The 12,037-nt window shown below is 39.2% G+C and overlaps 1 protein-coding gene across 26 annotated transcripts in view; it reads left to right on the forward strand.

Moving 5' to 3' along the window:
• Positions 1–12,037, forward strand: part of TDRD1 (tudor domain containing 1) — a 57,793-nt gene that overhangs the window by 14,374 nt on the left and 31,382 nt on the right. For all 26 annotated transcript variants that reach the window (XM_011539962.2, NM_198795.2, NM_001385365.1 and 23 more), the window contains exons 3-4: positions 1,714–1,772; positions 9,926–10,070. In XM_011539962.2, coding sequence (XP_011538264.1) covers positions 1,714–1,772; positions 9,926–10,070 — 204 coding nt within the window. The remainder of the gene's footprint in view (positions 1–1,713; positions 1,773–9,925; positions 10,071–12,037) is intronic.

Genomic DNA, 12,037 nt, shown 5'->3' on the forward strand with positions numbered 1-12,037 from the left:
TATTTGTGTAATGAAATGGGAATTACTCCTGACTTTTACCTTCTGAAGTAGGAAAACCATGTGTGCAATTGAGTTGTAAGCTGAAGAGAAACTCTCTTCTTGGAACATACTTTTTACTTGAAAAGATGGACACTGGTTATTCAGACTTACCTGGCAAGCATTTTCTCAAAAATTAACAAAGTGAGCCCTTTACTTCAAGGAAAACAGCTGACATATTTTGTCAGTGACAGAGTTCAAGCTTTCAAGCAATTTCGGGTTTTAGGAAACTTGTGTCTGCCACTTTGAGCTTAAGGACTTCCCAAGACAGACTTTTCTGGTGAGATGCATGATGATATTAACACATGAATATTAATATTTTTATTTGGAGACAGTCTCACTCTGTCACCCAAGCTGAAGTGCAATGGCACAATCATGGCTTACTACGGCCTCAAACCCCTGGGCACAAACGATCCTCCTGCCTCAGCCTCCCAAAACCCTGGGATTACGGGCATGAACCACCGCACCAGGCCCTAACACATGAATTTTTGCTATTGCATAATGAAATGTGTCAACAATTGGAAATGCTGCATATAACTCAATGAACCTGTCTTTTCCAAATGACCAATGCGTGGTATTGCAGTCATGCATGCGCAGGAATCCAAAGTGCGGGATAATCAGTGAATTCTAACGTAACAATATGAAAAGTTCCTTGATGTGGTTTTAGAGTTCACATTGCTTCTAACCCTATGCCACTTGTTTTGGTGTACTATTAAAGGCAAATATCCTTCTATTATTTGCCTTTAACAGAGGAGAACATTAAGTATTCCTCCTCGTTGCAAATACCTGTCTCCGGGAGGCCAAACTTTTTTTTTCAGATACCAAAACCAGAAGCAACATTTCACTGAGTTGAAGGCAAAAGCTGTATATGAATCCAGCTGTCTTCTGTTAAGCCAATCATTAATGATATGCAAAAATGTGTAATTCTTCTATATTTTGTTTTGAAAAATATAGTTTTTAAAAATTATCAGCATGTAATGCATTTATTTTTAAATGGATGTTTAAATTTAGTTTTAATTTCTAATACAGTAAATATTGATTGAAATAAGCCATGTAAACAAAAGCTGTGTAGGGTCCTCAGCTTTTAAAAGTGCAGAGGGTTTCTGAAACCAGAAAATTTGAGAACTGCTGCCTTAGTGAATGGAGAAAAGTTCACAATGAGAGGAGCACTAGTCAAGAAAATTTTGAACAAGTCCTTTTATTTATATTTTTACTTTTTTTCAAGACGGAGTCTCACTCTGTTGTCCGGGCTGGAATGCAGTGGCGCTATCTCAGCTCACTGAAACCTCCGCCTCCCAGGTTCAAGTGGTTCTCCTACCTCAGCCTCCTGAGTAATTGGGATTACAAGAGTGCACCACCATGCCCAGCTAATTTTTGTATTTTTAGTAGAGACGGGGTTTCACCATGTTGGTCAGGCTGGTCTTGAACTGCTGACCTCAAGTGATCCACCTGCCTTGGCCTCCCAAAGTGCTGGGATTATAGGGGTGAGCCACTGTGCCCAGCTAAGTCCTTATTTTCTGTTGGGAAAAGTAGGATGTTGCTTATGTTCTGGTGTAGCTATAAGGTCATTGTGGTATAGCCCTGTTACTTGAATATCACCTAATTACACTATTTTTCATTATTAGCAATAAAAAGTATTATTTGGCTTTTATTTGAAATTGTGTTTTTCCTCCCCAGGAAACTCAGTGTCACCACCAAGTGCTGAAAGTAATTCACCACCCAAAGAAGTGAATATTGTAAGTTATTTTATTGTGTGTGTGCTTGTTTGGGTAAAAGATTCTAAACATGTTTTATTTATTTAATAAAGAAGTGTTCAATTTGTAGGTATCATTCAAGATCAAATGTTTTTTCTTTTATGTACATTTTTAAAAAAAGAAAACTTTCTTAGGTTATTGTAGATTCACATGCAGTTGTAAGAAATAATGGAGATCCTGTGTAGTCTTTCACCTATTTCGCCCATGTTAACATGCTGCAAAACTATAGTACAATATCACAACTGGGTTATTGATACACCATCAAGATACGGAACATTTCCATCACTACAAGGGTCCCTTATATACCTTGTTGCTTATGTTCTGGTGTAGCCAATCCACTTTTCCTTCTGCCCCTGCCCTCTTAATCCATAGCAGCCACTGATATGCATATTTCGACAATTTTGACATTTTTGAGAATATTATATAAAAGGCTACATACAAACAGTACGTAACCTTTTGGGATTGGCTTTTGTCATTTCACATAATTATCTGGAAATTGATCTAGGTTGTATGCATCAATCGTTCTATCCTTTTTATTGCTGAGTAGTATTCCATGGTATGGACAACTTGTTTAACCATTTACCTATTGAAGGACACCTGGGTTGTTTCCACTTTTTGGCGTTAAAACTAAAACTCTATATCCATTTATGTACAGAATTTTATATGAACACGTTTTTAATGCTCCAGGATAGATGTCCAGGGTACAATTTCTGGGTTGAAGACTAGTCCCATACTTTGTTTTATAAGAAACTGCCAAATATTTTCCAGAGTGACGGTATCATTTTACATTCTTACCAAGGGTGTATGAGAGCTTCAGTTTCTCTGCATCCTCATCAGCATTTGGTGGTGTAGGTATTTTTATTCTACCCATTTTCATCACAGATGTGTAGTACTATCTCATTGTGGTTTAACTTGCATTTCCCTCACGATTGATGATGATAAACATCTTTTCATGTGCTTATTTGCCATCTGTGCATCTTTGGTGAAATATTTTCATGTCTTTTGTCTATTTTCTAATTTTTTTTTTTTACCGTTGTTTTGAAAGTTCTTTATATATTTCAGATATTGGTCCTTTGTCAAGTACGTGATTTGCCAATATTTTTTCCTAATCTGTAGCTTGTCTTTTCATCTTAATAAAGTCAGTTTTTCTTTAATGGATTGTTTTTGGTGCTTTTGGTGTCAACTTTAAAACTGTTTGATACTCTGGATCCTGAAAATGTTCATTTTTTTCCCCAAAAAAGTTTGATAGTTTTCCTTTTTTTTTTTTTTTTTTTTTTTTTTTTTGAGACGGAGTCTTGCTCTTTCACCCAGGCTGGAGTGCAGTGGCGCGATCTCGGCTCACTGCAACCTCCGCCTCCTGGGTTTACGCCATTTCTCCTGCCTCAGCCTCCCGAGTAGCTGGGACTACAGGTGGCCGCCACTACGCCTGGCTAATTTTTTTTGTATTTTTAGTAGAGATGGGGTTTCACCGTGTTAGCCAGGATGGTCTCCATCTCCTGACCTCATGATCCGCCTGCCTCGGCCTCGCAAAGTGCTAGGATTACAGGCGTGAGCCACCAGATAGTTTTACTTCTTACATTTAAGTTTTGATCCATTTTCAGTTAATTTTAAGTTAAGAAACTTAAGTTTTTGCCTATGTATATTCAATTGCTCCAGTGCCATCTGTTGAAAATTCTCTTTACTGAATTGCTTTCACACATTTGCCAAAATTCAATTGGACATATTTGTGTCAGTCTAGTCTAAGTTACTTATTTTCTGTAGATATATGTGTCTGTCTTTCCAGTACCACACAGTCTTGATTCCTGGAGCTGTGTAATAAATTTTGAAATTGGGAAAAGTGATTCCTTTTGCTTGATTTTTCTTTTTAAAAAAATTTTTAACTATTCTAATTCCTTTGCCTTCCAACATACAGTTTAGAATAATCTCATCTCTACAAAAAATATTGCTGGGATTTTCATGTGAATTGCATTAAACCTGTATATCAATTTGGGAATTATTGACATATTTGCTGTGTTGAATCTTCCAATCTATGAACATGGTGTTTCTCCTTTTATGTAGCTCTCTGATTTCTTTATTTTGTAGTTTTTAGCTTACATATCCTATGCATGTTTTGCTCAATTTACACTTAAGTATTTGATTTTTTTGAGTAATTGTAAATACTGTTGTATTTCTTTCCCCATGTTCATTATTAATATGTGGAAATATGATTGGTTTTTGTATGTTTATCTTCTATCTGTGACCTTGCTGAAGTCTTTTTTTTTTTTTTTTTTTTTTGAGACAGTTTTGTTCTTGTTGTCCAGGCTGGACTGCAGGGCTGCTATCTTGGCTCACTGCAACCTCTGCCTCCCTGGTTCAAGCGATTCTCCTGCCTCAGCCTCCCAAGTAGCTGTGACTACAGTCATGCACCCCCATACTTGGCTAATTTTTGTATTTTTTAGTAGAGACGTGGTTTCACCATGTTGATCAGGCCGGTCCCGAACTCCTGACCTTAGGTCATCCACCCGCCTTGGCCTCCCAAGGTGCTTGGGATTACAGGCGTGAGCCACCGGGACCAGCCACTGAAGTCCTTTTAAGATCCCTTGCAGTTTTCTACATAGCCAATTATATCATACTGCAAATAGGGACAGTTTTATGTTTTCTTTTTCAATGTATATGCCTTTGATTTCCTTTCTTGCTTTATTGCATTTACTGTAGGAACTTTCAACACGAGGTTTGAATCAGAGTGACAGTGGACACCTTGCCTTGTTTCTAATCTTAGGGAGAAAGCATTCAGTCTTTTACCATTAAGTTTAGATGTAGGTTTTTGTAGATGTTCTTTATCAAGCTGATGAAGTTTTCTCTAGTCCTACTTTTCTGATCCTTTTTATCATAAGTAGGTGTTGAATTTTGTCAAATGCTTTTTCTGCATTGATTGATATGGTAGTGACTTCTTTTCCTTTAGTGTGTTAATTTGGTGGATTACATTGATATTTTGAATGGTTAACTAGCCTTGCATTCCTGAAATGAACTCCACTTGGTCGTGATATACAATTATTTTTATGTATTGCTGAGTTCTATCTGGTAATATTTTGATAAGGATTTTTACATAAGTTTTCAAGAGAGATTTTGGTCTGTAATTTTCTTTTATACTGTCTTTGTGTGGTTTGAGTATCAAGGTAGTATTAGTTTCATAAAATAAATTGAGAAGTGTCCCCTCTTGTGTTTGCTGGAAGAGAAATTGTATAGAATTGGTGTTAATTCTTCTCTAAACATTTGGTAGAATTCTCCAATGAAAACCATCTGGACCTGGAGATTTCTTTTGGGGGAGTTTTAAAGCTATGATTCAGTTTCCTTAATATTTATAATTAAGGTCTATTCAAATTGTTTCATATTGTGTTTGCATTTTTTAAGGAATTTGTTCATTTTGTCTACATTGTCAAATTTATGTGTGGAAGTGTTCCCAGTATTATTTTCAGTATTAGTGGTGTCTGTAGTAATGTTCCCTATTTTATTCCTGATCTTGGTAATTTCTGTCTTTCTTTTCTTTATTGTCTGTCTTGCTACAGATTTGTGTTCTACTGATCTTCCCAAAGAAATAGGTCTTTGTTTCATTTTTTTTCCTGTTTTTTAAATTAATTGATTTCTTCTTTTATCTTTATTATCTCTTCTGCTGCTTTTGGGCATGTTTTTTTGTCATTGTTTGGGGGTTTTTTTGTTTGTCTTTTTAGTGGTTGGTTGTTGGTTTTTTTTTTTTTTTTATTAGACAAGGTCTCCCTCTGTCATCCAGGCTGGAGTGTAGTGGCACAATCATAGCTCACCACAGCCTTGTACTCCTGGACTCAAGCAATCCCATTTGCTGAGCCTCCTGGAGTAATTGGGACTACAGGTGTATGCCACCACACCTGGCTTTTTTTTTTTTTTTCTGTAGATATGGGGGTCTTACTATGTTGCCAGGCTAATCTTAAACTCCTGGCCTCAAGTGGTCCTCCCACCTTGGCTTCCCAAATTGCTGGGATTACAGGCATGAGTTGCCCTGCCCAGCCTCAGTGTATCTTTTATTTATCTTGAAACTTCATCTTTAACTCATGTATTATTTAGAAGTATATGTTTTAGTTTCCAGGTGTTTGAAGATTATTAGTATTTTTTCTGCCACTGATTTCTAGTTTGAGTCTATTGTGGTCAGAGAACACCTTCTGAATCATATCAGTTCTTTTAAGTTTGTTGAGGTTTGTTTTATGGCTCAGGATGTGGTCTTAGTATACATTCTCTTGGCACTTAAAAAGAATGTGCCTCGTCTGTTGTTGGGTCAGACGACCTATAAATACCTAATAGCTCCTGTTGGTTGGTTATGTTGAGTTCTATCCTCTTGCTGATTTTATATCTAGTCATGTCAATTGTTGAGAAGGTATTAAAGTCTCTAACTATAGTCCTTAGTTGTCTATTTTCAATTCAGTTAGGCTTCATGTTTTGCAGCTGTGGTTCATGCATATTTAGGATTGCTGTGTCTTGTTGGGTTGACTCTTTTGTCATCATAATGTCCCTCTCTCTGGTAATTTTCTTTCCCTGTAATCTGTTTTATCTGATATTAATGCAGCCACTCATATTTTTCTTAACATTTACATATTTTTCCATCTTTTTACTTTCGGTCTCTCTATATTGTTATATGTAAAATGAGTTTCTTATAGACACCATATATTTAGGTAATGTTTTTTAATTCACTAGGGCAGTGTCTTTCAGTTGGTATGCTTAGACCGTTTACATTTGATGTAATTAATACTTGAGTTTATGCCATTTGTTTTCTGTTCTTTTTTCCTGCCTTCTTGTGGGTTACTTGAATACTTTCAGTAATTTTGATTTTTATCCAGTGTTTTCAAGTGTGTATCTTTGTATACCTTTTCCAGTGGTTGTTCTACATACGGTATCATGTATACACAACTTAGTTATCATTTTACCAATCTGAGTATAGTGCAGACACCTTACCTTCCCATACATTTCTTTACCTTCACCCATTTACGTCTTACATATTCTATCTCAGATTTAGAACGCCTTCAGACAGTTTATCATTTTTGCTCAAACTCTCAAACATAATTTAGAATGCTCAACAAGAGAAAGTCTATTGTACTTACTGATAGGTTTCATTTATTGGGTCTCGAACTCCTGAGCTCAGTCCTCCCACCTCAGACTCACAAAGTGCTGGGATTACAAAGTGAGCCACTGAGCCCGGACTATTGTGTTTTTCTTCTTTCTGTTTCAGTGTTCCTGCTTTTATCATTTCTTTTCTCCTTAGAGAACTTCCTTAAGCCATTCTTTTAGGATAAAGCTACTGGTAACAAATTCTCTTCATTTTCTTTCATCTGAAAAGTCTTGATTTCCCATTCATTCCTGAAAGATATTTTCCTTGGATAAGTTTCTCAGGTAAGTTTTCTTTCAGAGCTTGAAAAATGTTTTGTCACTTTCTTCTGGCCTCCATGGTCTCTAATGAGAAATCTGTCTTTTTAAAGATACCTTACTGCCATGTAGCTCTTTGGGTCTCCAGGTTCCTAGTCAGCCCACCTCCTCCTTTCCCACTTTCAGAGTCACCTTATGTTTGTTTTATATATAAGTTCAGGGTTTTAGTTTACCTTAATAGAAGGAATTTTAAAAATTTCCCCCCCCATACAGGTAAGGGATTATTTTCCTCTTTCTGCTTTCAAGCTTTTAATTTTCAGAATTTTAAGATGTGTCTTGGTGTTTAGTCTCAGTTTACTCTGGGGCTCACTCAGCTTCTTGAATTAGTAGATTTATATCTCCTACCAAATTTGGAAGTTTCTAGCAGTCTTTTTTTTTTTTTTTTTTTTTTTTTTTTTTGAGACAGAATTTGGCTCTTGACGCCTGGGCTGGAGTGCAGTGGCATGATCTGGGCTCACTGCAACCTCTGCCTCCTGGGTTTAAGCGATTCTCCTGTCTCAGCCTCCCAAGTAGCTGGGATTACAGATGCCCTCCACCACACCCAGCTAATTTTTGTATTTTTAGTAGAGATGGGGTTTCGCCATGTTGGCCAGGCTGGTCTTGAACTCCTGACCTCAGGTGATCCCACCTGCCTCAGCCTCCCAGTGTTGAGATTACAGGCGTGAGCCACTGTGCCTGGCCTCAGCAGTCATTTTTTGAGTATTTCTCAGCCCTACCTTCTTTTGCCTTTCTGAAGTCATAGAATACTAGATCTTTTGTTGTAGTCCCACAGGTCCCTGAGACTATTCATTTATTAATTCATTTTCACTCTTGTTCAGATCAGGCGTTTCTGTGGTTCTATCTTCAAGTTTACTGATTGTTTCCTGTTTTCCCTCCATTATGCTAGTGAGTCTGCTATTGTGTTTTGTATTTTTGTTATACTTTTCAGTTTTAAAATACTCATTTGGTTCTTTATATCTTTTATTTCTTTAGGGAGACTCCCTATTCATTTGTTTCAAGCCTATTCATAATTGCTTGTTAACATATTGATGACTGCTTTACAATCTTTATAGATAAATGAACATTTTTGTCATCTTGATGTTGGGCGCTTGATTTTTTTTTTTCCGGCATTTGTTTGTGATCTTCCTGATTCTTGGTGCAATGAGTTATTGTCTACTGAGTTCTGTTGAAACTGGGATATCTTGGGTATTATGAGACTTTTTTTTTTTTTTTTGATTGAGTCTCGTTCTGTTGCCCAGGCTAGAGTGCAGTGGCATGATCTCAGCTCACTGCAACCTCCGCCTCCTGGGTTCAAGCGATCCTTGTGCCTCAGCTTCCTGAGTAACTGGGATTATGGGCACGTGCCACCATGCCTGGCTAATTTTTGTATTTTCGTAGAGATGGGGTTCGCCATATTGGCCAGGCTGATCTTGAACTCATGACCTCAAGACGTCTGCCCACCTCAGCCTCCCAAAGTGCCGGGATTACAGGCGTGAGCCACCACACCCAGTCTCTGTATCGTATTTAAACTTCCTGTTTCAGCTGGCTTCCTCCGACACTGCTCTGGCTGCTTGTTTGTTACCGCCAGGTCGGGGGGTATATGTCCAGGTTCCCTACTCAGCCTCTGATATTCAACTCGGGGGCTCTTTCTGTTGGGTGAGGATGGGAGTTCCAGCTTCACAAGAGGCCTCAACTAATTGCTTTCTGGCTGACAGTGGTGAGTGCCTCATTACAGCTCCCCATCTGGTCTCTAGTGACACGGGTGGAGAGAGGCCCGACTGAAGGAGAGGGTATTAGGAGGGAGTAGTTAGTAATGAATGGTGGTGGAAAGTCTGGACTCTCCACTATGCCTTTTCTGACACCACCTTGGTCGGGGTGGTGGCACCTCATTGTTGCCAGGTGGAAATCCGGGTTCCCCATGTGGCCTCCGTAGGGAGGGATCTCATCCTCCTCCCACTTCAGGGATAAAGTGCTGGCACCCTATTCGCTTGGCCTTCTCTGATACCACACCTGTGAGCAGGTTGGGGCACCTCATTTGTAGCCTTGTGAGGGTGGAAATCTTGGCCCCACACTCTCCCTTTGTGGGTGGGAGTGGGGCCACAGTTTTGTCTGTGGTGTTTGGAGTAGAGCAGTTAATGTTAAGTTTTCTGTCTTGCTGGTCTGCCTCTTTTCTCATCCTTTGGCTAGCAGAGCAGGTTTTAAATTTTTTCTTTTAAATGATGAGGGTCTCACTGTGTTGGCCAGGCTGGAGTGCAGTGGCTGTTCACAGGCACTATCATAGCTCGCTACAGCCTTGAGCTCCTGAGCTCCAGTGTTCCTCCCTCCTCAGCCTCAGAAGTAGCTGGGACTGCAGGTGCCCACCACGACACCCGGCTAGAGAGCAGGGCTTTTCTTGTTGGAGCTTTTATCATCTCTGCCTTTTGGTGTTTCTGGGTTGCTGGCTTCTCCAGCACCCAGTCTGGTATATATGAGGCAAAAAGAAAACCCAGACATCTTATTGCCATGTCACTCTTTGGGTCTCCAGGTTCCCAGTCAGCCCACCTCCTCCTTTCCCACTTTGAGTCACCGTATGTTTGTTTTATATATAAGTTCAGGGTTTTAGTTTACCTTAATAGGAGGAATAAGGAAAAGTACATCTACTTGATCTTATCTGAAGTAGTCCCAAATCTAGTATTTAAATGGAAAAGTTATTGCCAAATTCTAACATTGCTCTTCTTTGTTCTTAATAGAAGCCTGGAAATAATGTACGTCCTGCAAAATCAAAAAAACTAAACAAGTTGGTCGAGAATTCCTTGTCCATAAGTAATCCAGGGCTCTTCACCTCCTTAGGACCTCCTCTTCGGTCCACAACTTGCCATCGCTGTGGCCTATTTGGTAAGCATATTGTTCTTGGGTGTCTGAATTCTTCTTCCACATATTTGAAAAACATTTTTATTGTGGCAGATGATGAAACATTAAGTGTAATTAGAACAGTGTCCCCATGCCACACACCCGTCTCAGCCTCAGCAGCTGTCAGCATCCTGCTGTTCCTCTTCACCCATCCCTTCCCATTCTTCCTGCTTCCTCAGCGGATTATTATAGTTTTTTAGGGGAAGCTCACATGCAATGAAATGCACAGACTTACATCCTTGTCATAACATAGGATGTTTCTGTCTCCTCAGGAAGTTTTCTCATGTCCCATCCCAGTCCCTACTTCTGAGAAACAACCATTGGTTTTCTACTCATGAAATAATTTTGCCTGTCATAGAATTCACATAAGTGGAATCATACAGCGTGGACTCTTTTGTATCAAGCTTATTTCATATACAATAATACTGTTGAGGTTAATCCATGCCGTTGCACGTACAATTATTTTTTGTTTATTGCTGAATAGTATCTCATTGTATGGTTATACCATAGTCAAACTGTTCTATTGATGAATATTTTGGCTGGGTCCAGCTTTTGTCTGTTATGAATAGAGCTCTCTAAACATTTCTGTACAAGTGTTCGTGTGGACATATGTTTTCATTTATTGTGGGTGCACAGGTAGACACACAATGGCTGAGTCAAAGGGTAGGTGTGTGTTTAACTGTATAAGAAGCTACTAAACCATTTTCAAGGTATTGTCCCATTTTCTTTTCCCACTGGGAAGGAGTTTTGGTTGTTCCACATCCTCGTCCACATTTGGTGTTTGTGTTTTTAATTATAGCCCTTCTCGTGGATAAGTTGGAATTGTCATATGCCTCTTGAGTTCTAATTTTTCAGTACGTAAGTCTTACTTGCATGGCATTTACCAGTTTACAGTTAAATTTGCAGTGCTCTCGTGATCAATGATCTTGAGCAGTTTTTTCTGTTTATTACTGGCTATTTGGATATGTAACTTTTTAAAAGTTTATTTTAGGATGGAAGCATTTGAGGCCAGACTGGTTGGTGGTTACTTCTTTGTGGGTTTGTTGTTGTTGTTGTTGTTTTTTAGATAACCTGTTTCTTTAGCATGAACACTGATGGGATTTTTTAAAAAATCCTTTATTTCAAGATCTCCCTGGGTTTTTCTGGGTGTGATTCTCATTGTTTATTTTTTGTTGTTGTTTTTCACGATACACAGCCATTTCAGTCGCTTGTACAAGTCTGTTTTCACTACAAGAAAGTTTTGTTTACTTTGCTTGATCTTGGCTCACTGGCACTCTGCCTCCTGGGTTCAGGCGATTCTCCTGCCTCAGCCTTCCAAGTAACTGGGACTACAGGTGCGCACCACCACACTGGGCTTATTTTTGTATTTTTGTAGAGACGGGGTTTCACCATGTTGGCCAGGCTGGTCTCAAACTCCTGACCTCACCTCAAGTGATCCACCCGCCTTGGTCTCCCAAAGTGCTGGGATTACAGGCGTGAGCCACTGCATGTTTTGCACCATTGCTTGCTGCTGCCTTTTTTTTTTTTTTTTTTTTTTTTGAGACAGAGTCTCACTCTGTCACCCAGGCTGTGGAGTGCAGTGGTACAATCTCAGCTCACTGCAACCTCTGCCTCCCGGGTTCGAGATTCTCCTGCTTCAGCCTCCTGAGTAGCTGGGATTACAGGTGCCCGTCACCATGCCTGGCTAATTTTTGTATTTTTACTAGAGACAAGGTTTCAAACCATGTTGGCCAGGCTGGTCTCGAACTCCTGACCTCAGGTGATTCACCTGCCTCAGCCGCCCAAAGTGCTGGGATTACAGACGTGAGCCACTGCACCTGGCCGCTTGCTGCTTTTATAACATATATTCTGAGGTCTATTAGGAAACTCAGTTATGTGTCCCAGTCTGATCTCCCTTTTTTTAATCTTTGTAGTCATTTCTTCTCTGTATTCTCAGAGTTTAAAAGTATAAT

Source organism: Homo sapiens, chromosome 10, assembly GCF_000001405.40.
Source record: "Homo sapiens chromosome 10, GRCh38.p14 Primary Assembly".
Classification (NCBI taxonomy): Eukaryota; Metazoa; Chordata; class Mammalia; order Primates; family Hominidae; genus Homo; species Homo sapiens.